At 38.5% G+C, this 27037-nt stretch overlaps 2 long non-coding RNA genes across 7 annotated transcripts in view, besides 1 other annotated feature; one reads left to right on the forward strand and one right to left on the reverse strand.

The window, feature by feature from the left end:
• Window positions 1-27037, forward strand: part of LOC124901334 (uncharacterized) — a 47524-nt gene that overhangs the window by 6082 nt on the left and 14405 nt on the right. Inside the window, exons 2-3 of one of the 2 annotated variants that reach the window (XR_007059621.1) lie at window positions 15924-16012; window positions 21476-21634. This is a non-coding gene — a long non-coding RNA (uncharacterized LOC124901334). Of the gene's footprint in view, window positions 1-15923; window positions 16013-21475; window positions 21635-27037 lie in introns of those variants that run through there. The other variant, XR_007059620.1, reaches the window with a different exon arrangement.
• Window positions 1546-2745: an enhancer, noted in NCBI's record as "P300/CBP strongly-dependent group 1 enhancer chr6:53599001-53600200 (GRCh37/hg19 assembly coordinates)". NCBI's record gives its function as "activates an origin of replication core promoter dependent on BRD2, BRD4, P300/CBP, MED14 and CDK7 cofactors, with strong dependence on P300/CBP, by STARR-seq in HCT116 cells {active_cell/tissue: HCT116}" and the evidence as "EXISTENCE:reporter gene assay evidence [ECO:0000049][PMID:35650434]".
• Window positions 6825-27037, reverse strand: part of LOC124901333 (uncharacterized) — a 54194-nt gene continuing 33981 nt past the window's right edge. For 2 of the 5 annotated variants that reach the window (XR_007059619.1, XR_007059615.1), the window contains 3 exons: window positions 14252-14356; window positions 11562-11707; window positions 6825-8681 (listed from right to left, as the gene is read on the reverse strand). This is a non-coding gene — a long non-coding RNA (uncharacterized LOC124901333). Of the gene's footprint in view, window positions 8682-11561; window positions 14357-27037 lie in introns of those variants that run through there. The other 3 variants (XR_007059616.1, XR_007059618.1, XR_007059617.1) reach the window with 3 other exon arrangements.

Below are 27037 nucleotides of genomic sequence, written 5' to 3' on the forward strand. Positions count from 1 at the left end.
AGTGATTTCTTTTTGCTTTAATCAAGCAGCTACTGTGTTCTTGAAATACAACTTTTTTTTAAAATGCAATTTTTTTTTTCAGATTGTGTCAAAGGATGGAACAAACCTGGAAGAGGTAAAATCTGGGTCCCTGTTTTTTATCTGCCACTTGAGAGCTGTGTGAACTTGAGCAAGTCATATCCATTCCTTCTTCAAACATGAGAGTGCCTGGTATATGCCAGGCACTGGGACACAATGATGAGGAGGCATAGGAAATTGACCCAAGAAATTGGCCATTACACTTGCTCTAAAGATTTGGCCAAGATACCCAAGAGCAGAGAGGAGAAAACCTCTAAGTCTGCTTGGAGGATGGGGAGGATCTTTTATAAAACAGGTAGAAAAACGTTGGCTCTGGTGCTGTGAAATACTTTGTCAACTGCACTAGAACACAGAGCTTTTTAAGAGCACTTTATTGGTTTGAAAATTATACAGTTCATTTGTATTAGTGATGATACTTACAACTTGATCATGCAAATGTGAATTTCAAAGTCTAAAGTTAACAAATATCTCTATCTACCTCCCAAAGAATAGAAAGACTTTAGAACACTCTAAGCCAATAATCTCTTCCATTTTGTTTTAATTCCATCCTATTGTATAATCACAAAATCAATCACTATCATGATGTTGCTGCTTATAATCAAGATCTATTTAGATTTATTTACATTTTACTAATATCCTTGCCTACTATACCTTTCTGCATCTCACTCCTTCCTTTTTTTTTTTTGAGAAAGAGTCTCACTCTGTCACCCAAGCTGGAGTGCAGTGGCACGATCTCGGCTCACTGCAACCTCCACCTCCCGGGTTCAAGCAATTCTTCTGCCTCAGCCTCCCGAGTAGCTGGGACTACAGACGCGCACCACCACGCCCTGCTAATTTTTGTATTTACTTTAGTAGAGATGGGGTTTCACCATATTTGTCAGTCTGGTCTCAAACTCCTGACCTTGTGATCTGCCTGCCTTGGCCTCCCAAAGTGCTGGGATTACAGGCGTGAGCCACCACGCCCGGTTTCACTCCTTCCTTCTGAGTTCAACTTTGTTTTTCCTGAATTGCATCCACTAGTAGGGTCCTTTAGGGGTGTACTCTCAATTATTATTATTTTAATGATGGTTTAGTTGGACTAGAACTTTAGTCAAGATCTATTTAGATTTATTTACATTTTACTAATTTCCTTGCCTACTCTACCTTTCTGCATCTCACTCCTTCCTTCTGAGGTCAGCCTTGTTCTTCCTGAATTGCATCTACTAGTAGGGTCCTTTAGGGGTGCACTCTCAATTGTTATTATTATTTAATGATGGTTTAGTTGGGCATAGAACTTTAGTTTGATAACTATGCATCTCAAAGATATTAGTACACTTACAGTGTTGCTTATATCAATGTAATTATTGTTCATTTTGGTTAACTGACTTTTTGCTTATGAAGATCTTTGTCTTTGACATTTTGTTGTTTCATTACATTTTGTTTTGTTGTTGACACTAGGAATGAACTTATTTTTATTTTTCTTGATCAGGACTTTTTAAACTTTGTGAATCAGACAATTTATGTTTCAAAAATTTTAGACAATTTAGTCATTGCATCTTCAAATTTTGCCTCTTCCTCATTTTTTCCATGTTTTCCTTCTGGAACTTTTACTGGACATCTTTTCATTTTATCCTCTACATCTCTCCCTTTTTATTCATGTTTTTTGTCTCAATCTCTTTGGAATTCATGCTCAGAGCTATCTTCCAGTTTGCTAATGCTTACTCCAGTTGCATATTCCAACTAATGCTATTCCAGCTAATGTTATCTTCCAGCTTCCTTTGCTCTTTCTAATGCGTCAATTAAGTTTTCAGCTTCAATGAATATACTTTTCTTTTCTAAGCACTGTGTTTGTTTATTCCGTCAACTTTGCAGTTGCATTTTTCTCCTTTTTTTTTTTATTGTGTTACGTCTTTAATCATTCTAAAGATACCTGTTTTATTGCCTATGTCTGACTCACCGGAAATTCCTAGGTATCCAGTCATGCTGTTTGTGGTATCTGCTGCCTCTTGCTCCTGGTAGCTTGAGTGTTTCATAAATATAGATTGCGAATTTATCAACACTGAGCCTTTAACTGTGAGGATCCTGTGAGGCCTGGATCGAAGGTGTGATTCTGCAGCAAAGTTTTACAACTGCCTCCGTCGAATGCCCCATGGGTAGAAAACCAGGCTTCATTTTTACATGAATTGCTTGATTGAGAGTTCTTGAGCTATAAAAGATAAGCCCTGAATCCACGTGGGGGCAGGTCTTGATCAGGAACACTCAGGGCAGACTTTCTTTTTCCTCACTCAGAACCCAGACTGAAATAAACAAAATACCTTGTCATCTCCCTGTCAGTGGGTGGATTTATTTAAGGACCTCTCTATTACTGAAAATAGAGTCCTTCAAGAGTCCCCTACTGGTGTTTCAGTTCCAGCTCCCAGCCTTATATATGTGTGGAGCCAGGACCTCATCTGCCATCTCCACGCATGCATTGGCTCTGAGCTAGTGCGATGGCGCCCCCTTCCTGTCTCCCACTTCCCTCCCAGGACAACCGCAGGCTTCCTGTCTCTGTACTGCTCTGGTTTGTGACCTGTTTCAATTTTAGCTCCTGAACATTTCTTGTACTATCTTATAAAGTCAGTGCTTTTAAAAGTATGTTTTGTATATTTTTTTCCAACATTTCTAGATGTTTTATAATGGAGGCTCTACATTTTTCTATATTGTTAGAAATGTAAACTCTTATATATACTTTTACGAATAGATCCCAAAGAAGTTTTTAACTTGGTGAAATCATCTTGTTATGTGAAAATGTGGCCATCATAGCTGGCTAACATGCTAAAGAGGATTAGCCTTGGTGAACATGCTACTAACTCAAAAAGTTATAATAGGGTGCTTGAGATAATACAGGGGAAAGGTAATGCCTTTTGAGGGACTAGATAGTCAAGCAGAATATCGTAAACTGAAGGAATCTTGGAGATTAATGTATTCATTCATTCATTCATTCATTCATTCATTCATCAGTTACCTGATGCATGCCTATGACCCAGAAACTGTTGGGTAACATGCAGTTTCTTCTCATCAAGATCATCTTCTGTAGCACACGGTGAATAATAAACAGATGATTAAGTAACATAGTTATAGACGGTGATAAAAGCTGCACACTTTTAAGATGAAGACTGGGAGGCATCAGCCTCCATGAAGAAGTAACAGTTGAGCTGAACCCTAAATCATGAGAAAGAGTTAGCCATGAGAAGAGGAGGAAGCAGCACCTAGACGGAAAGGCAATGTGATTCGGTTGGCGGGCGGAAAGCACAGGAAACCCCAGTGAGAAACCAGAGCAGACAGAGGGTTCTGAGAACACAGAAACCAGCTTAGCCAGAGTTGGCCCTGGTGGGACTCTGATTATACCTTCTGTATTCTCCAGTCCTCACCCATCACATACCACTAATGCCCTTGACAGCTGTCCTATTCAGCCTTGTCTTTAAGCAAGCTGTTATCTACCACATCAAATACCTCCAAGTGCCCACATGAGCCATAAGAAGACCTAGAACACCTGCTTCTGGGGTATTTTAGACATCTTGCTCCAAATCCATAGAGCCTCTGCAATTAATGAAATTATCTAGGAGTTCTTGCACCTGTTGTTTTTATGTAATTCTGTCTGTGCTCACTCGAATAACTACTAATTATGTTCTAGCATAATAAATAAAAATTTGCTGTTATGGTTTTAGAAAACAAAGAAAGTGCTTGATATTTAAAAAGTGCTTTTTATTAGAAAAATCTCTATACTAAATTGTCAAATTTTCATATCTTTTTGTTATATAGGGAGCTATCTATACAGCCCTGCTCAAGTTGACAAGTATATATACATGTATGTATACATATATGTATTTATACGAGCCTTAAAAGAAGAAAACAAATTTTATTGTCTTCCTTCTAATATTACTGATGAGTAACTGCATCCTCTCAATAGTTTGAAAACTATTGTTTACTTGATTTCACTTTATTTTCATAATAATCATGGGAGGTTAATAGTATTATTTCCCTTCTTTACCAGAAAAGGAAATCAGTTTCCTTTTATGACAATGGTGAAGCAACATAAAATATTACTGAGAATAGATTAAGGATAAAATGTGCATGTTAAGAGTTAAATGTTCGTCTCTGTTCTAAGCCAATAACACCAACATTTGCATCTCAATTTGTGTGAATTGGGTATTTTAAATAGCTATGTAATTTCCTACCATTATTAGTAGAAAAGCTGTTGTGCATGCTTTCTTTTAAAATAAACATGCATTGACCAAAATCTGTTATCGAATACAATATCAAAATCAACATTTCAATTTTTATACATTTTCTTTATCTTATTGTTTTGAAGGCCTTTCTATAGGAAGCCAGAGTCTTGTGAACACTAGGATGAGATAGATTTCTGAGACATTAATCACATCAGATGGAGTTATTTTCATTAATCCTTTGTAGAGCAACTGAAAATAGACCTGGAAATGAGTGTTGAAAATGTAAAGCTTAGACATGAGAAGCATTCAGTAGGAGGAGAGTCCTGGCATAGTTGTGTTTTCCCAGGGCACTGTCTTAATTTAATCTTAGTGCCACAAATGGAGTGGCTCTTTGAAATATTAGGATTTGTCAAGTGACTTTTCTCAGTAATGGTGTTGCCTCTGCCCATCTGTCAAACTCTTTTCAACACATGTTTAAAGGCAAATTAGAACACAAATGCAGAACTGAAAAGCATTCTGATATATGTACATTGCATTTCGGGTGTTGTTTTACTTGCTCTAGTTAAGTCTCTTCAGTTCTTGATGATAACATACTTGGCCCATGCTAGCTGCCTATAAAACACATCAATAGGAAGATAAACTGTTATAGAATCACACACATGTGATTTCTAACCATCCCAATCATTCCTATCCTTCAAAATCCCGGTTATTGCCACATTCCTACTTGACTGTACAAAATTTTTGACAGGTTGTATATCAAGTGCTTTATATGTAACATCCATCAAACCTTTACAATTACCCAGTGAACCTGCTACCTTGATTAACCTTTTTTTTTTTTTTTTTTTTTTTAAACAGATAAGGAAACAGAGGTGTGCAGAAGTTAACTACCTTATCCAAGGCCATACAGTCAGGAAGGAATGGGGCAGGATTTGAACCCAGGCAGTTTCACCCCAGGGCCGGAGTGTTTAGTCACCAATAAATGGAATGTTGTTTGCAGATTACGTGCAGAACATGATGCTGGGCATGTCCTCAGAAATCTCATATTCTAGTCAGGAAGTAAGTCACCAGTCTAGGAGGAGGAGGCAGGATGCAAAGTCCAAAACCCTTTGCCTACTCCTCATGGCCCTTTATTTTGGGATTCAATTTATTTTTCTTACCTAACTGCCTACCACGTACCATTTTCCTGCTTGAACTCTGGACTCATTGTGAGGTGTCTAGAGAAACCCTCACCTTCACAGCTCCATGCCTTTGTTTACTTGATGATAATACGTTCTTCTCCATCCCCTACACAAATCTGCTTTTCTCTAGGTGAATCCTAACTACTCTCCACGAAGCTCTTCTTTCACTTGAACTCATAACATTTCTTCCCTCCTTTTTCAGTAACCATATATGCTAGGTATTATTTCATGTGCTTTACATCTATCCCTGATGCAAGCCTCAAGTTTACCTAGAAGAGGATACTAGGGAGAAAGAATGGAAAATACAGAGGCCTCAAGTCTGGAGTGTACTAAGCATGTACCAAACCATAGGGAGGTCAGCAGCATTTAGGAGATATTTTTTAGCTCCCACTGGGCAAAAATGAGCTATGTGGGTGCTCAAGGCCAGCAATCTATTTCTCCAAGCTGTCTTTGATGGCTCTACACTCAGGCTTGCCTAGTGGAGTGGCTGTCTTAGTCCATTTGGGCTGCTGTAACAACATACTGAAAACTGGGTGGCTTATAAATAACAGAAATTTATTTCTTATAGTTCTAGAGAATGGGAAGACAATGCTCAACCAGTTTGGTGTCTGGTGAGGGCTCACTTTCAGGTTCATGAATGGCACCTTCTCACTGTGTCCTCACATGGTGGAAGGGGAAAGGCAGATGTCAGGGGTCTCTTTTATAAGGGCATTAATCCCATTCAAGAGGCAGAGCCTTCAGTCACTTTCCAAAGACCCTACATCCTAATGCAATTACCTTGGGGGTTAGGATTTCAACATATAAATTTTGGGAGGACACAGACATTGAGACAACAGCAGTGGTTCTTTGGAATCCTATCACTCTAGTTTTTCAATATCATATGTAACAAAAACTGGGCACAGCTATCATCTAGTAACAAAGCCTTGAAATATATAAAACAATATTTTCAGAACTAAAATGAGAAATAGACAAATCCATAATCATAAGGGGAGATTTTGGCACTCCTCTTTTAGTAAAGAATATAAATAGAATGAATAGACCAAAAAATAGTAAAAACATAAGGGTTTGAAGAACATGATTAACAAACTTGATCTAATTGATACACGCATGTTGAAAACTGATACCCAACAAGAGCAGACTAGAATTTTTTTTCAAGTACATGTTCTATAGAATTTTATTTAAAAATTTGACCATATGCTTGACCATAAAGGAAGCCTTAACAAAGATTAAGAAACTGAAATAATATGGAATATGCTTTCTGACCACATATAATTAAACGAGCAATAAATAACAAAAATGCCATACTAAAACCTCCCAGTTTTAGAAGTTAATAATGTACTACTAAATGATTCAATAGGTCAAACCAAAATCACAATAGGAATGAGAAGACATTTTATATTTAATATATTAAAAATGTAACATATCAAAATGGGTGGGCTGAATCCGAGTCTATGATTCAAGGGAAATTTATAGGCTTAAATAAAGCATTAGGGAAATAGAATCATGTAAGTATCCATTTCAAGAAGTTTGAAAAAGAAAAGCAAATTTTAACTCAAAAAAAGTAAATTAGGTAAATTATAAACAACAAACTAGAAACCAATGGAAAAAATACAAATACATGTATAATGAGGTTTAACAAATCCAAAGGTTGTATCTTTTTTTTTAAGAGCCTTAAATTGACAAACATCTGGCCAGTTTGATCAAGAAGAGAGAGTGAGAATGTGCAAATAAATAATTTCAAGAATGAAAACTCATTTAAAAAAATCCTAAGAGGTCTATGTGACTTTTATGTCAGTAATTTTGAAAATTTAGATAAAATAGACAAATTCATAGAGAATCTCAATGTGCCAAAATCAGAGTGTTGGAAATAGAAGGATTTGAATAGTTTTATATCTATTAAAGAAATTGAGTCCATAACTAAAAATTTTCCCATCCTAGATGCTTCCCTAGTGAAGTTTACCAAATATTTAAAGAAGTAATCATATCAAATTTATAAAAACTTTTCCAGAAAGTTAAAAAAGAACAAGTACTTCCCAAATAATTTTGTAAGACCAACATATCCTTGATTCTCAAACCTGACAAGAACATACAAGAAAAAAATAACAAGTCACTGTCTCTTGTGAACATATAAGCAAAAACTCTAAAATAAATAAATAAAAGAATCAAATCCAGTGTTACACAAAAAGAATAATGCATCATGACCAAAGTGGGTTTATTTCAGATATGTAAGATTGTTTTTAGATTAAAAAATCAATATAATTTACTGCAGTAACAGAATTTAAAAATCATATGACCATCTTGATAGATGCAGTAAAAATTTTTTATAAAACTCAAGATTCATTTATTAAAAAAACTCTTGCCTTCACAAAGATCTCTAAATAAACCCCATTAAAAACATCATAGTTAATATTAAGAGCTTTTCCTCTAAAATCAGGAATGAGGCAAGGATGGTTGCTTTTTTTCCACATTATTTTGTAGGTTCTAGCTAGTGCATCAAAGTTAGAAAAAGAAATAAAGAAACCCTATTAGAGGACTGGAAATTAAGAAATGAATCTGTCATTATTCATATATAATTATACACATAGAAAAATCCAAAAGAACTACAGAAAAACTATTACAATTAAAAGAGGAATTAACCAAGGCCACTGAATACATAGTCAATAAACAAAGTCCTGTACTTAGTTTCTATATGTAATTAAGTTTCTATATGCTAGTAACAAGCAATTAGAAAATAAAAATTTTAACAAAATATCATTTATCAACAGCATAGAAAAGTCACATGTCAAAGAATCAATCTAAAAAATTTGTAAGACCTCTACACAGAAAACTACAAAACATTATTGGGAGAAATTAAAGATGATCTCACTAAATGGAGGGATGTATCATATTGTTACTTCTGTCACATTCTGATAGTTAGAGAAAGTCACAAAGTTAACCCAGATTCAGTGCGGGAGGGGACTATGCAAGGACATGAATTCCATGAGGTGTGGTTCACTGAGAGCCATCTTTGGAGATTAGCTGCAGAGTTCATGTTCTGGCCTTTTATGTTTTACATTCTTCACCGGTGAAATACACTTACACTTATCTCCCTTTGGACTCCCAAAGCCTCATCCCATTATGGCACCAGCTCAAAGTCCAGTATCTTATCATCTAAATCATGTTGGCAAATCCAGATAGGGCTCTTCAGATGTGTTCCCTCTGGTACTGCTCCTTGGGTGTGGGTCCTTGGGTGCAGATACTGAATTGTACAGATTGTGAATTAAAAATTCTAGCTCTCTCAAACCTCATCACCAACACACATATACACTCCCATATATACATAACATACATTCATAAGATAGGGCTAGGATAAACAAATAGACACTTGCATTTAAAAGGGGGGCATGAATAGGAGGCACAAAGCAAGCACCCATCCACAGCAATTCCAACATCCTCTGAGCACATGTGACCAGCCCTGCTACTTGGGAGTGATTCTCCGTGGCTCTTGGCTCCGCCTTCCATGACATCCTGCCTTTTTCATTAGAAACGACCCACGCTTGCAACTGAGAAACTTTCGTAACCTGCTTAAGAAAGCAGTGGCTCTTGCCTCCGCCCTCCGTGACATCCTGCCTTTTTCATTAGGAACGACCCATGCTTGCAACTGAGAAAGTTTCTTAACCTGCTTATTCCCCATAGAAGTTTGAGGACCCAGAAACTTCTTTCATTTTGAACTGTCTCAATCTTTTTCAGCTCAAGCTGATACAGTTCTTTTGGAAATGTTGTGGTTTTCTGAGATATCCAATGATAAATCAGCTCTCTTAGATAAAAGCCCCTCTGTACTTTGCTGCTTCACTTATCTATTACTCTGCAACAAACTCCCCAAACTAAGTGGCCTAAAATAACAATATATTTTTTATGATTCTGTGAGCTTTCTGGAAAATATTGAAAAATTAGACTACATTAAAACTATAGGCCAAGCACGGTGGCTCATGTCTGTAATCCCAACACTTTGGGAGGCTGAGGTGGGTGGATCACATGATGTCAGGAGTTTTGAGACCAGCCTGGCCAACATGGTGAAACCCCGCCTCCACTAAAAATGCAAAAATTGGCCAGGTATGGTGGCGTACCCCTGTAATCCCAGCTACTTGGGAGGCTGAAGTGAGAGAATTTCTTGAACCTGGGAGGCAGAGGCTGTAGTGAGCTGAGATCGTGCCACTGTACTCCAGCCTGGACTACAGAGCAAGATCCCATCTCAAAAATAAAATAAAAATAAAATAAGTTATAAAGAACTCCTAAAGAATCAGATAATTTAATAGAAAAAAGGGGAAAAGATATGAACAGGCACTTCAGAAAACAGAATATCTAAATGGTCAATAAATATATATTATATGAAATAATTCTCAATTAGTCATCAGAGAAAATTCAAATTGAAACAAAAATGTGATACCACTGCATACTCAAAAAGATAGCTTAGGTTAAAAAGCCAATTACAAGCAAAGTTGCTGGGGGGAGTATAAATTGATACAGTCACCACTTCGGGAAACTGTCAGTATCTACTAAATTTGAATATAATATACCTTATGACCCAGCAATTCCACTTTCAGGTATATGTCCAACAGAAATGCATACACACATATGCACCAGAAGACTTGGGTATAAATGTTCAAAACAGCAGTATTTGCAATGCCTCAAAATGAAAATAACCCTAATATCCATCCACAATCTTAAAAAACACACCAACACGTGGTGTAGCCATAAATCAGATACTACACGGCAATGAAAATGCATGAACTGCTGTATACGACACAAGTAAATCTCACACATATAACATTATGCAAAAGAAACCAGACACAGAAAGCGCATGATATGATTTCATTTATATAAAGTACTATAAAAAAAGGTAAAACTTTTTTTATAAGGGAGTGATAATGTTCTGTTTTGACCAGGGTGAAAGTTGTACCAGTAGTTCTTTTGGTAGTAATTACTGAACTGTGCACCTTGAATGAAAGTCCACTTTACAAAGGGGTACATGTTTTGAAATTTTAATTTAGCAGAGCATACAAAGGGGAATAATCAGTTGTTCCTGGGAGAGTCCTGATAGCTGAGTTATGAATGAGGAGGAGAAGTGTATCATGCAACCAGGGAGGGGCAAGAAGGAATCCCAGGAAGAGGAAGCATCTTGAACCAAGGAATGAAAGTGCAAAACAGTTTGACATAAACTGGGACTCTCCAAGCAATTCATATAGGCTAGGAGGAAGGAGGGTGAGATAGGTGGAAGAGGGAGGAAAGCCCCACGCCAAGTATTTTCAATTTTATTATGCTTTCGGAAGATATTGATAGGTTTTAAGCATGGAAGCATAAGTTCTGGTTGGCATTTTTTTTTTTTTTTTTTTTTTTTTTTGGAGACGGAGTCTGGCTCTGTCTCCCAGGCTGGAGTGCTGGAGTGCAGTGGCGCGATCTCGGCTCACTGCAAGCTCCGCCTCCCGGGTTCACGCCATTCTCCTGCCTCAGCCTCCCAAGTAGGTGGGACTACAGGCGCCTGCCACCACGCCCAGCTAATTTTTTGTATATATATATATTTTTATTTTAGTAGAGACGGGGTTTCACTGTGTTAGCCAGGATGGTCTCGATCTCCTGACCTCGTGACCCGCCCGCCTCGGCCTCCCAGAGTGCAGGGATTACAGGCGTGAGCCACCGCGCCCGGCCTCTGGTTGGCATTTAAAAAAATATCTCAAGTGGCCAGGTGTGGTGGCTCACGCCTGTAATCCCAGCACTTTAGGAGGCCGAGGTGGGCGGATCACGAGGTCAGGAAATCGAGACCATCCTGGTTAACACGGTGAAACCCCGTCTTACTAAAAATACAAAAAATTAGCCAGGCATGGTGGCATTTGCCTGTAGTCCCAGCTACTCGGGAGGCTGAGGCAGGAGAATCGCTTGAACCCGGGAGGCAGAGGTTGCAGTGAGCTGAGATGGCACCATTGCACTCCAGACTGGCAACAGAGGCAGACTCCATCTCAAAAACAACAACAACAACAACACACACACACACACACACACACACACACACACACACACACACAAACTCTCAGGCTGAGGCAGTGTGAATTACAAGGGGGTGCCTGGACCTACACCCTCCCACCTTTTTTTCAGAGTTCTTCCTTCATCCAACTCCAAAGCTTAAGAGAATGAGAGGTCAGATCATGGAAAATAATGAAGCTCATGGAGGCACTCAGCCTCTTCATGTCCTTGATCTCATTAGAACCAGAAAATCATCGATGATCAAAACTGGAAAACAGGTACAAAATTCTTAGTGAAAATTGCTCCACTGAAACGTCATAATGGTGATGGAGGGATTGTCCCAAAACCAAAATACCGGAAAAGACATGTACTCTAAAGTATCTGTCCATGTACTCAATTGCTACAACTGGTTTTTCCTGTCCTTCATCAAGTCAAAGCTAGCTGTTCCTAGGCTTTTCTTCTTAAAAACCAGTTTTACCTGTTATGATACTTTGCCTGCTATAGCTAGATTTTTAAAGACATATTTTCCCCATACTTGCAAACTGGAAAACCTGCCTTGTTAAAGTCAGGTAACTGGGAATGTAATTAGCATATAAATAGATGTTCAACGTCACTATTTATCAGATAATTGCTAGTTAAATAAAATATTTCATAGCTATCATATTGAGAAAAGATTTAAAGGTCTGATAATGCAACTGTTGGAAAAGGAAACTTATACACTGCAGAAGAGATTGAAAATTGGTTTGACCATTCTGGAGTGGAATTTGTTTATATGTTTTAGAGCTAAAGATGCACTTATTCATCAAGCCAGAAATTCAACTTGCAAGTAGAAACCATGCAGAAAGTCTCAAACTATCTGTAATAAAAAGGCAAGTTTTCTAAAAATATTTCCATGCTGCTGAGGATCAATATGTTTGTAAAATACAATGAAAATGAATAAATAAAATTTTGGCTGGGGACAGTGGCTCATGCCTGTAGTCCCAGCATGTTGGAAGGCTGAGGTGGATGGATCACTTGAGCCCAGGAGTTCGAGACCAGTCTGGGCAAGATGGCAAAGCCCCATCTCTATAACAAGTGAAAAAATTAGCCAGGTATGGTGGTGTGCGCCTGTAGTCCTAGCTCCTCAGGAGCTGAGGTGAGAGGATCGATCACCTGAGCCTGGGAGTTTTGAGGCTACAGTGAGCTGTGATTGCGCCACTGCACTCTGGCCTAGGAGACAGAGTGAGACCCTATCTCAAAAAAATAAAATTTTAAAACAGACATACAAAATACAGAACTCAATATTCTGTATTATTGGATTCAATAGACATAAAAGTACTCAGTTGGATTGCTATTAAAGTTTCTAAATTAATATTGTCAATTTCTGTACTTAATTAGTTATGAACTGGTAGCGATCTTCAGGTCATGGTTTGAGAAGCTCACAGGAACAAGCAGATAGATATAAGGAAAAATGTTCATTGCAGCACTGTTTAAATATTAAAAAAATTAAATTCACAATCAAAAGAAAAAATAAATGTTATGGTCATACAATAAAATATAACACAATAATTAAAATGAATAAACTAGACCTACACATATTCACATGGATAAATCTTGAAACCAGAACATTCAGTGAAAAAAAACTGCTGAGGGTCTTTATTGTATGATTCCATTTATATACATTTCAAAAATACTTAACACAATATTACATAAATGTCTTAAGAATATGAATAAATGTATTACAATTAAGAAATAGAAGTAACTAACTTTAGAATAGTCATTTTCCTCTGGGAAGTGTGAGAAGAAATATAAGATTAGGAAACTTTGATTGTACCTGTGATGTCTTACTTCTATCAAAAAATTGAAGGCCAGGTGCGGTGGCTCATGCCTGCAATCCCAGCACTTTGGGAGGCCAAGGTAGGTGGATCACGAGGTCAGGAGTTCGAGACCAGCCTGACCAACATGGTGAAACCCTGTCTCTACTAAAAACACAAAAAATAGCTGGACTTGGTGGTGCGCGCCTGTAATCTCACCTACTCAGGAGGCTGAGGCAGGAGAATCGCTTGAACCCGGGAGGCGGAGGTTGCAGTGAGCCGAGATTATGCCACTGCACTCCAGCCTGGGTGACAGAGCAAGACTCTGTCTCAAGAAAAAAAAAAAAAAAAGAAACAGATACTGCATAATGTAAACATCTATTAAATCTGGGTATGGGGTACATGCATATCACGTTATTTCCTATTTTAAAAATGTTTGAATTATTTCATAATTTTTAATTTATAAAAAACAATAAAAAAGGTTCAAGGAAATTTACTACATCTTTGAAATATTGAAATTGTTTTAAGTGTCATGGTTTATTTGGCTAGAATACACATAGGCATAGACAGATAAACTTAACCATTTACTTCTGGTTTCAAAGTTCTGGCTTAAAAACTGGGATACCTCACAGACTCAGGAGGGATGATGGAAAAGCTATCCCCAGGTGAACATAGAAAACCTGTATTCCAGTCCCAGCTCTTCATGTAGTAACCTGTGTGAACACCAAAACGTCTCAAATTACAAAGAACACAGAGGTCACCTACTCCAACTTGCTTACTCTAAAATAAACTAGCTCAGACAGGCTGTGAATTGTCCAAGGCACACACTCATTGTTGGTGGAATTAAGATTTGGGTTGAGTGTTTTCTCCATTAGAAAAGTCACAAGTCATTTGGAAACAAATGAACAAACAAAAATAATGGTGTTTGGTTACTGCTAGTTGTTTCTACAAGGCTTGAATTCAGACATTCAAATGCAGTAGCCCACATTGCCTCTTCAAGAGTAAGCTGAGGGATTACCTGTCTCGTGGGAAGCAGGGGAAAGACCACTGACTTCGAAGTCAATCAGGTCTTGCTGTGAATTCCAGCTGTGTGCTCTGTGATCTTGGGCCCAGGTTTACTTACCTGTAAGTATGGGGAAGAAAAAATTACAAATCACATATAGAGTTTGTGGCACATGTTGAACATAATGAGTGGCTAAGGAATGTTATTTTCTTTCGCCTTCTTTAACTACTAAGGCAAGGAGCATAAAATGACTCTATGTCTGCCTTAAAGTGGTGATACAGACATGTAACAAATACATTAGTAACCCTTACTCCCTCCAGCCATCCAAGGTTTCACTTTCCAAGGTTTCAGTCATCCATGGTCAACTGTTGTCTGAAATTAAGTGATTATAGTACAATATGATATTTTGAAAGAGAGAAAGTGCATGTTCAAGTAACTTATTTTTTTTAAGACAGAGTCTCACTCTGTTACCCAGGCTGGAGTGCAGTAGCATGATCTTGGCTCACTGCAACTTCTGCTTCCCAGGTTCAAGCAATTCTCTGGCCTCCGCCTCCTGAGAAGCTGGGATTATAGGTACCCGCCACCACGCCTGGCTAATTTTTGTATTTTTTTAGTAGAGACGGGGTTTTGCCATGTTGGCCAGGCTGGTCTTGAACTCCTGACCTCAGGTGATCCACCCACCTCAGCCTCCCAAAGTGCTGGGATTACAGGTGTGAGCCACTGCACCCATACATAACTTTTATTACAGTATATTGGTATACTTGTACTATTATTAGTTATTATTGTCAGTTTCTTACTGTGCCTAATTTATAAATTACCCTTTGTTGTAGGTATGTACATATAGGAAAAAACATAGTGTATGTAGAGTTTAGTACTATCCTCGGTTTCAGGCATCCACTGGGAGTCCCAGAAGGCATTCCCGGATAAGAGGAGGCTACTGTAATTGCAATAGAATGTGGTAAACACCAACCTAGGTACATGTGGAATATTCCAAGGCAATTGAAAAAGCAGGAGGTAACTACTATGCTATACTATGTTGCCACTTAACATATCTAGAGCTCCTTTTGTCCACCATAAAATTATTCTCTGCTTACAAAAGTGAGATCATTAAAAAAAAAAACAAAAAAAGAAAGTGTTTGGCTTGTAATAAGGTGTAATATTAATATGAGGCATTGTTATTTTTTTCCCCCAAGAACCATGTGGGGGAAAAACCAGAATAATGGGCAGAACCAAAACCAGAATAATGGTCTCTCAAAGATGCATACATCCTAATCCTCAGAATTTGTGAATATGTCATGTTATATGTCAAGGAGGAATTAAGGTTGCTAACCAGCTGTTATTAAAATGAAATCATCCTGGATTATCTGGGTGGGCCCAATATAATCATAAGGGTCCTTTACGTGTGGAAGAGGGAGGCAGTGTTCAGATTCAAAGATCTGAAGATGTTACACTGCTGCCTTTGAAGACAGAGGAAGGAACCACAAGCTAAGGAATGCAGTTGTACTCTAGACTCTGGAAAGGGCAAGGAAACAGATTCTCTCCTAGAGTTTCCGGAAAAAAAAGCAGACATGCAAACAGCTTCATTTTTAGCCCATGAGACTTATTTCAGTATTCTCACCTCCAGAACTGCAAAGTAATACATTTGTATTGTGTTTAAACCATTAAGTTTTTGCTGATTTGTTTACAGGGACAACAGAAAATTTATATAAACTGCAACCTCAATACTTTGAAGACAGTAGCACGAGGAATGAATTAGTGCTGAAGACAGCATCGAATGTGAGTTCCATTTTTTCTTTAATGTCATTGTCATCACACTAGAGACACTGGGCTCAAATGGCTCCTGCATGATCAATATGGGCCTACCGTCAGCAAGATGAGGTCTTTCATTAAATTTTCTCTAGATCTATTTAGCTGTGGCACGCATAGGCTGTGCTCTTCTCTATATACTAATGGCCCTGGTGCATTCCATGACAGACACTGAGCATGCACCTTGTATAACAGTCCCAACTACTTTCCCTCAAAACATTTCTGTTAGGCCAAATGCTGTGTATTAATATTATTTCTCCTGATCCTTATTTCAGATGTTTAGATCCACCTGATAAACTTGCAATCATCTTTCAGGATGTATATCAAGGGTTCTCTCTTGTGGTAAATTGAGTTTTTTGTCTTAATTCCTCACTTCCCTCCAGTAGCATTCATACCCACACATAGCTGAATGGTAGGTGGAGTATATGTCCCTGTCCCTTGACTTTGGGCTTGGCCACGTTACCTGCCTTGACCAATGGAATTTTTATGGCTGTAGCAAGAGCAGAGACCTGAACTGTTTTTGCAGAGTTAGGTTCTCTTGCTTTGTAGTGACCCACAGTGAGCACATACTCTGGTCCAGGGGGGATGAGAGCCATGTTGAACGGACCTGATCCCAATCTGCAGCTCACAGTTGGAGCCCAGAGCCTGGCGCCCAAATCAAGCACAGCCCAGCAGATTGGTTGTTGATTTGCAGACATGAGCCTGAGGATTACTGTTCTGAGTTACTATGTCTTTGAGTGATTTGTTGCACAGCATTATTGTGGCAATAGCTGACCAATATACCTCCCAGATAAATGCTTTTTAACTACTCTCGCCCAGTAGAACTAACCACCTCCTCCTAAGCTTTTTGTGCTCATTGTGCTGTTACAGATTTATATATCTGTCTTTCCCAATGGACTTAAGTCCTATGAGGGCAGGTGCCAGGTGTCACTTAATTTTGTATCTATGACCTCCAGCATGATGCTGAGAATACAGTAGGCCCCTAATACCTTACAAGTGAATAAATAAATGAATACAAGGAACACACTGTCCCAGGCCTGAGACTCTTAGGTGGGGCGGGTGAGAAGGAATAGGAAATTACAGATTTCTGAGCCACTGCAATTGTCATCAAATACAAAAGGGGCCAAGCTTTGTTGGTAGACTGAATAAATAATATTTTAAAGCACATACGTTTTGTTTTTCAGGTATTTATAAATGCTATTGTGATTAATGAAGGTAAATAGCTTATTTCAAAGTAATAAATTAATTGCATATTATCACCATATATTTCCTCAAATGATGGATATAAAAAGAACAGCTCATCTCAAGTAAGGAACAAAAAGTTTTGACATTAAAAAGAACCCTCATATTCGGAAATGTCAGGAAATACCATTCCAGACTATTTGAAGAAGTCATAGAGAATTCAGCATTATGCTGAATCTTTTCTTGCTTGTTTGCTGGTGGTCAATGTGGCGGTGACTTGGCATGTCTCTCTAGCTTCATCTTTCCTGAAACTTTAGGTCACTGCAGATTTACATCATAAGGGTGGGGCTGCTGTCAGACTTTGAGACATCTCAAAGAAAATTATAAGCTTTCATTGTTTCTCCACCCTTTCTATCACAAAAGCTGTCATATCACTGCATTTTACAGCTCAGCTTTGGGTTGTAATTATAGTCATTGCCATGAGAATTCTTCCAAAAGAGAGGGTTTATTTAATAGGGAGAAACTCACATACACAAAAGAAAGGACTGCCAGCACAACAGTAATGATTGAGCATTGATAGTTTAAAACATGAAAACTACACATTGAGTGTGGCAGGGAGTTGGCTTAAACCATATGCCTTCCCGTCCTAAATATTTATAGTAGCAAGGAGGCTTCTGTGCAACTGTCAAGGCCTTTTTTTTTCTCTTTAAATGTATTTTTTCCCTTCCTTCAAATTCACTTAAAGGATGATATTTCTCATCTGTGGCTAGAATACTGCAGAGGAATATTTAAGAGTTTAAAGGCATGTGAGGAGAACTGGAAGTGGAGGTCAGGGGAGGGGGAAGCAATAGACAAGTGGTGACTTCAGTGAGAATCTTTAACTGCTCATAGGCAACTTTCAAGGTCTCAACTTAAGCCATGACCCAGGCATAGCTCCATGGGGCTGACAGAACTAATAGGAGACTCTGGACAGGATATTTGATAAATATTTGTTAATGAACACGTGAGTAAGTGAAAAATGAATGCTTCAGCATTCATTATTGATAAATACTGATAAATATTTGTTAATGAACATGTGAGTAAGTGAATGATGAGTGCTTCAGCCTGCCCCTTCACTTATGCTCCTTTCATCATCCTCCGCTAAGCACTCTACACTCCTGTGGCAATGAAGTATTTGCCATTTCCCAAACATCATGCTTCCTCTTGCTGTAACTCCTGGATCCTTTATCTCCTCATGCAGCCCACCATAGCCTATCAAGCTCCTACTCAACCTTCAAGTTGTAACTCAAGCTGTCATAGTTCCATGCTCTAGCAATACTTTATACATGTATAATAACTCAAAACTCACTATGTTATAATTTCCTCAATTCATGTGCAGGAACCATGTATTTTAATCATTGCAACCTAAGCAACTGGCTTGGTGCGTGACACATCATAGATATTCAATAAGTGGTCACTAAATATCTTTTATGCTGTTTGACCCTTCCGGTGCCTTCCAAAACAGACAGTAAATTCCTGCACTGTGGGATGGTTTCTTCTACAATTCTTTGTGTAAAAGAATTCTTTATTCTTTATTCTACATGTCCTCCTTTCCTAGGACGTAGCAATGTTTCACTCTACCTCAGAACTGATCAAGCAACAAGATAAGTAAGACCCAGTTCTAGATGCTAGGGTTAAGAAAAGGGAAGAGAAACAATTGGAAGAAGTTTAGTGGGAATGACATCATGATATTTACCTGTAGGAATGACACATACAAGTTTAGAAAGCATATTTCAAAGTAGACAAGAAGGTCATTGTAATAGTTCAGAATAGAGAGTTGGGGATATGTATACATATACATATATATAACATATATATGTGTATTTATACTTGTGTATCTATATATATAGAGGAAATTATATATGTTATATAGATAATTTCAGGAATAGCACTTCTAGGATTTGGTGGGTGATTGAAATGGCACAGAGGATGAAAGGAATCTAAGATTATTCCAAGAGAGCTTGGGCAAATCCTGTATTCTGCCACTACAATGGGAAATGGCAGGAGGAATGGCTTTATTAGCAGAAGGGAGGAGGACCCTGAGCTCAATGCTGCTTTTATCACAAACGAGGGACCTGTGGATCATCCAGAAGATAACTGTTCATCAGTAGACAGTTGTTTTGGAGCTCAGCAGAACAATCAAGACTGAAGATACAGATTTCAGAGTCATTAGCAAGCAAGTAGAAGTTGAAGTTTAGGTTGTAACTTACATTGTCCAACGATGTTATATGGAGTAGAGGTTCTAGGGGGTTGGGGTAGGAAAAGGTTATGTGGGAGTTTCCATCTCTGAAAATGGGAGACAGTTGACTAAAACCACATGCCTTCCATTGCTAAATACGTGTAGTGGCAGTTTTTAAAAAGCGAGAATTATTGAGAGTCTTGTGCCCTGATCCTGTGGGTGGTTTTGTGTATAATTTAAAAAGCTCCCTATGTGTGCTGATATAATCTCACATCTTGAGGATGACTGTTGAATATACTTTTATAATTAGACTTACTTTGTACATTTACATATTTGACTCACCTATGAGATTTGAATCACCTACGAGATTCTGCGCTACTTGAGGGCAAGACTTTATCTTGTTTAAATCTATATCCCCAGTGCTTAACACAGTGTCTGTCACACAGGTATTCAAATGTTTCATGAGTCAAATGATCTAATTGATTGTTTATTTCACAAGGTAGGGTTTGTCACTGACTTTTTAAATGTAAGAACATGGAGGCTGCATAAGATGCAGTAACTTGGTCATGGCACACAGCTAGTAAGTGGTTCAGCCAGTTGCCCCAATGCCGATCAGTGTTTTTCAACAATAGCTCACTGCCTCTGCTCATTCCTAAATCTGCCACCACCATCAAAAGACAGGGAAGCAGGGTATTTAGGAACTGGATGTAGCATTACTGGAAGGCCCTGTTAAACTCAAAGTGCTCTCTAAGATGTGTGCAGCTTACCTTGTCACTCCTTACTAACCGACTTCTTAAACTATCCGGTGAAAAGAACATTAAAGAAAGAGCTATTTCGTATTGGACCCATGTAGAGAAATATTCAGATGAGCCAGGAAAGTAGGAGAAATGACTAACTGAAGGAAAATTGCATCACAATTCTTTATATGCCTCACCCCTTTTATCTGATTAAACAAGGAATTTGTTTTCACATGTTCTTTGCATGAATAATATGATCTTCCAAACAGGAAATTAAAACCTTTGCTATACTCTAGGCCTCTCCTTAACCAAAAACTTGATACGTGGATGCTATATTTAATATGTAGAACATGTGGTAAAGAAAACAGGAAAATGCTGAGAAAGGAATGGGGTTAGAGAGGACATTTTATGATGGAAAAATATAGAGGGGACAGTATGGAAACTCTAGTGACTGTGATTTCTGACAAACAGTCCCTGAGTTGTAAACATCTAATACCTATAAGGTAACCTTGACTCTTAGCTGGCCAGAGCTCCTCCAGGAAAGCTGTTAATGGACTCTCACAGCTTCCAGAGAGCCTATGGATCTAAAAGTAAAGATCCTAAAAGCCAGGAAAGTTTGTGGGAGCCATTTTAACGAGTTTATTCTCATGAAGGATGATTCTGATTAGACATTTGTCTTTGTGAAATAAGCTTCAACTAGGCAGAGGTACAAAATATTAGGAAGGTAAAGGTCCAGCAGTCACTTGAACTTGATTTGGGTTTGGATAATCAGTTTGCTTTCTAAAGAATCATAGCACCTCCAAAGGCAAGGGAGTTGGGTTGGGAAAACGTGGCACCCCTGCCTGCTCCTCCAAGTCAGGAAATGCAGGCAGGCTTACAGCCAGGTGAGGAAACAAAGGATGAAGGCAGGAGAGGGATACACAAAGAAGGAAGGTGCCAAAGCCCAAATCCGCCAAATAAATTTGCGCAGGGCTTGACCATGCACCAGGAAAGGGAAAGGAATTATCTTTCTGTTTTGCCACAGACCTGGAACCTTCTCTGACCTTCCAGAGGCTAGTTCCAAAGGCTAGGTTGGAACTAGCCTTTCCCTTCTTGGTTCCCCATGGCTCTTTGCTCATCCTTTGCCTATAATGGCTCTTTTTGAGACAGAAACAACAGTTAGCATTAATCAAATGTACCAGCTACTCTAAAATTGTGATTTCATTTCAATCTTATAACAATACTATAAGGCAAGCACTCTTATTATCCCCAGGAAACTGAGGCTTAGAAAGTTAAATATTTTGTTCAAATTCACAGAGCATAAGGGGCACAGCAGAAATTCAAGTCCAGGTGTCTAATCCAAAATCTTTCCTCTGGAGACTCCCTGTTTTTCATGAAGCCCAGAATCCTGTCTTGCACATCACTTTCTCCTCATAGTACCTACATGGTCACTTGGACATGGTGAGTGCATTCAACACATATTTGTTAAATTGATTTTGAGTTTGTCAGTCTTTCTGTGGGGGTGACAATTTTCATTGACTCCTGGGTATCATTAATATTATTAAGTGAGAACATACGTGATTAAGGATGTGCCAGACACAAACCTTTCCTACCTTCCCAGATTCTCTCATCTGCCTCCTGCCATTCTTCTGACTGGCGCCTCCCTTACATGCCTCAGCTCCACTTCACTCCACTCCACTCCACCCCACTTCACCCCACTCCACTCTGGGTTTGGATGAACGACCACATTTCAGGGCAATGGAGTCAGCTTCTGGGGAGCCTCCAAAGGGCCAGATGGCACAACACTGAAATGCAGAGGAACTAGGTTCGAATGGGATGAAACTCAATCAAAGGTAAGTGAGACAGATAAGGGGAGCCAGGCAGATAACTCTCCATTCTTTCTTTTCTTGCATCCTTTGTGGAGAAGGTCCCTCATGCTAGAGAACAGACCTGTGCTCAGCGAAATACTGTGCTTTTTGAGTTAGTTGAGAAGCAATGGCCAGAATGATACCTCGTTGCCTTATATGGCTTTGCATTTTTCCTCATCTCGTTTCCTTTCTTTCCTCACCTGCACTGCCCTGGGCTTGTACATATCAAGTAAAATGGCAGCATAAGACAAGGAATAAAGAGAGACATGATATGTCATAACAGTAATAATCCAAGAAACTCTAACAAACATGTACTTATCTGTACTTCGCAACAGAGACATGAAAGATATTTATAAATAAAACAATTGGTTCCACTGGGGGAGACTGGCAAACTCTAAACCACAGTGGGAGATTTTAACACACCTCCTCAAAGCTGATAGAGAGATGTCAATACTCTTCCCTTTGGCAATGAGAGATCAAGAAAACAAAAATTAGTAAGTCTACACCAGATTTAAATGAGAAAAATGATGGAAAATATCCTTGAAAACCCAAAGGAGCTCAGAATCCTATTAAACAATCATGACATAGCTTCTATGGCAATAGAGGTTTGGAGGTTCAAGAAAAGTATTACCATACCGTCTTTTGGGACCTGACAACTTAGTTTGAAGGTAGGAGAGAGCCCATTCCTCAAGGTCAGGTCCAATACTCTGGCACCTAAGATTCCATGGGCAGACACTCACTGGCCCAGGCTCACGATTCACTCTACAAGTAAAATCTCCCAAAGTCACTCAACACTGCTGGTCAAAGCCCACATGTGTGCCATCAGAATAAAAGGTGGGCCTTTGAAGATTTATGGTTTTTACCCCTAGCCTCCCACTTCTTTAACTATCTCCATGGGCTGAATCTTTTACTTTTCAAGCAACGATAACATTGATAATGCAGAAAACTCTGAGAAAGTTGTTTTGATGCAAATGCTTTTACTAAGTTATGCATCTGAGATTCTTGGTAGTCTTTTACCAGTGAATAAACATCAAATTTTACCCTTTCACAGTTTTTCTCTTCTGCTATATATTCAATTATTATTCATTTGAATTCCTTTCTTCCTGAACATTATATTTGGAATTTTCCCAATGACACATTTTATTAATTTAAAAAACACTTTCCATTTTTTTCTCATTATCAAAACAAACTGTGCTCATTGTAGCAAATTCAGTAAATACAGAAAAGCAGAGAGAAGAAAATAAAATTCATCCTACCACCCGGTAGTAGTCACTTTCACATGTCATTTTAACCCTGCGACAACTTTTCGAAGCTTACGGGTTCAACTTTCCTGAAGTTCTTAGGCTTGGCCTTTGGCTTCCACCTTTGTCCTTTCTTTCCATCCTTATTCTTTCCTTTTTCCGTCCTTATTCTTTCCTCTTCCCCTCTCCCATTTTCTTTACATCTGCCAATTTATCAGTCAATAACAAATAGAAAGGGAAAATTAAATGTTTAATCTTATTATAAATATCTTATTATTGAATTAAATTTAGGTGTAATAGAGCCATGTGTGAAGACAGAAATTTGTCCATCAAATTTGATATTAATGGTAACTCCTAGCACTAGGCATCTCGGATATGAACTCAGTGAAACAGGAGTGGATCAGTTCATGGGGTTATCCAAAAAAGCTCACTTTCCCCAGCTCTACAGAATCAACAGTCTGAACTTCTCTAGAACAAAGGCTATCTTATTTACTGTGTTTTAATAATAATGGCACACTTATTAAGCATCAACCGCTGATAGAACTCGTTTACATATATTAATTAATTTAGTTTTCACAATAATCCTGTGGCAAATACTAGTAATATTACTCCCATTTTGCAGATGAGGCTACTGAGGCACAGAAAGATAAAGTGACTTGCTCAATGTTTCACAGCTTTTAAGGAACAGAGCTGGCATTAGAACCCTGGCAGTCTGTTTCCAATGTCTGTAGTTTTAAACCACTGCCAAGCTTCATCTAAAGTGTTTGCATATTTTGTAAGTTGTGATTTCTATAGCATATAATGTTAGAAATAACTTTAGATGGTTCATGGAGTTATTTTAAAAAATATTACGGTGGCACATGCCTGTAATCCCAGCACTTTGGGAGGCTGAGGTGGGCGGATCATGAGGTCAAGAGATCGAGACCAGCCTGGCCAACATGGTGAAACCCCATCTCTACTAAAAATACAAAAATTAGCTGGACGTGGTGGTGTGTGCCTGTAGTCGCAGCTACTGGGGAGGCTGAGGCAGGAGAATCGCTTGAACCTGGGAGGCAGAGCTTGCAGTGAGCCAAGATCGCGCCACTGCACTCCAGTCTGGCGACAGAGCGAGACTCCGTCTCAAAAAAGAATTTTATGTTATATGATGTGTGTGAGAAAACTATATCTTACACAGAAATCATAAGTATTTCTGCTTAGGATGAATAAAATTTTAAAGTCAATGTCAAGAAAAAATTAAGTAATTAGAGGTATAAATGGTATGTAAACGTTGCAAAAATAACAAAAGTGAAAGTGACATGCTAATTAACACTGTTAATGTAAACGCTCAAACCATTGGCTGGGTACGGTGGCTCACGCCTGTAATCCCAGCACTTTGGAAGGCCGAGGCGGGCGGATCACCTGAGGTCAGGAGTTCAAGACCAGCCTGGCCAACATGGTGAGATCCTGTCTCTACTAAAAATACAAAAATTAGCCGGGTGTGGTGGCACACGCCTGTAATCCCAGCTACTCAGGAGGCTGAGACAGGAGAATCATTTGAACCTGGGAGGTGCAGGTTGCAGTGAGCCAAGATCATGCCACTGCACTCCAGCCTGGGGGACAGAGCGAGACTCTCTCTCAAAACAAAAAACAAAAGACAAAAAAAAAAAACTCAAACCAAGATGTCACCTCTAATTCAATGTTGCACCTGGCAGAGATTCCCCACCAGCAGAGTGGATCAAAGATGGTAGGCCCAAACTCTCACCCATATTTTATCCTGTAGCACTGTGAGTGAGGCTTCACTGGTTGAACATTTTTTTAAGTAACACCTTTTGCTTTTCCATACATTACAGTCCTATTAGCTTATTAGACATTTTCTGCCTTGAACAATTGCCAGTCTGAGTTTCTTAGACTGAGGTTCCACCCAAGGAATAGGCAGAGAGCTGACAGTTATTCTATTACTAATCTTTGCTGTATTTTATTGACTTTCAGATAAATATGTTAGAAGTAATACCAAGTTGCGGTTCTTATAACCAAACCCTCAGCTGTGGGCTGGCTTCTTTAGATGGATATAGACCTCTTTTTATTGAAGTGTACATAAAACCTGTCCCTACAAAAATCAGGTTCAAGAGAGACAGTGTCATGGCAACTTTCGCAGTGGATAAGATAAACATGCGCTGTCTCTTCTTCCTTGAAATTTATTGTCAAGTAATTGAAGTCAGCTTCAATGACTTGATGCTGTAATCCTACAAAGCTCTTGTCTGTACAAAAGTTGAGCATATTTTTTCAATTTTTTTTAAAAAAGGTCCTCTTTATGATGATGCATGAGGCACTTTCTCTTTAATCTCAGTGACAGGAGTAATAGCCTTGTTTTTATTTTAGGAAATTAGGAATACAATAATTGTTTTTGATGTAAGAAATCTTAACAGCCAAGATTGTAGCCCTCATGTCTTAGCAATGAAGGGCTCTCATATCTCAGATACATAGAATCTATGGCATGCAGTTTTTGACTTCTCTTTTATCTCATCATTTTTCTGCTTATTTTTCCTTTGACCTGTTTTATTCATTCTTTTTTTTCAAAATTTTATTTTCTTTTTTGGCATACAAATGCATAAAATACAATTTACATGGTGTATGGAATAAAATGAGATGTAAATAAGAAGATTATTGCCCAAATCCTACGTGTTAGATTGTGATTCAAATCACCAAAGGCAGCAAAACTGTAGAAAATGTTTTTACTGCCAATCTCAACTAAATTCTGCTTGTGGGCCAAGCCAAATTTATAAGCCTTTGCCAATCCCACTCCCAGGCACATATGTTACAGTAGCATTTGACATCATGTTTTTTCCTCCTTCTGCTTTATGCCTCAATAACTGAATTGATTGCCTGGGTGTGGAGCCCATGCAAGCAAACTTTTCCATTTCTTTTTTCTATACAGGCTGCCTGATCTATTTTAGACTGGGTCTGGGTATTTGTGGTAATAGTCATGATTTTCTTCTTCTATTAAAGTTCATGGTCATTCTAGATGATAGATTTACTTAAAGTTAAAAGGAAGTTACTAAAGAAATTCACAGTAAAAAGAAAGAAGAAAACTAAAGTGCTAGTCAAAGCACTTCTTTGAGACTTGTGTGTAAAAGCCTAAAAAATATCTTTGCCATGTCCTTGTAAAACTATTTTCAGTTTAGCCCTTTTAATTAAACGGTCATCAGTAGTTTTTAAATATCCTGCTTCACTCTCTGTCTGTTCTGAAGATGATGGAAAGATGCATATATGACTCAAGTTTTCAGTGACTACTTTAGACTCAAATTTTATCTGTCATGGACATAGGGAATCCATGTTATGGGTGTCTGGAGAATCTATGAACCACCTGTATGCAGAATTTTGTAAAGACAGAAAAATGACCCTTAGCTTTCATTAAATTCTCAAAGGAGCCTGTCACCTAAACAAGGACTAGCTGCTCTGGAGGCAATTTAAGAAATGTTTATGCTCTCTTTGGTACTAACAATACCCTCAGCATCCTATCCTTTGACATTGAGCCAGCAGTACAATCACTATTGATTCAACTCAGTCAACAATTCTTAAGCTCTTCCATTGGCAAGGCACTATTAGGCCCCACTGGGAAACAAGGATGGTCTGGTGTAGTCCAGGCTTTCCAGGAGTTACAGCCTGGAGGGAGAGGGAGACAAGCATCTCAAATCTTAATGTGTGAGAGTATCAACTGGGGAGCTTATTTCACTGCAAATTCTGATCTAGTAATTTTGGAGTGGGGCCCCCAATTCTCCATTTTCTTACAC

Source organism: Homo sapiens, chromosome 6 (assembly GCF_000001405.40).
Source record: "Homo sapiens chromosome 6, GRCh38.p14 Primary Assembly".
Classification (NCBI taxonomy): Eukaryota; Metazoa; Chordata; class Mammalia; order Primates; family Hominidae; genus Homo; species Homo sapiens.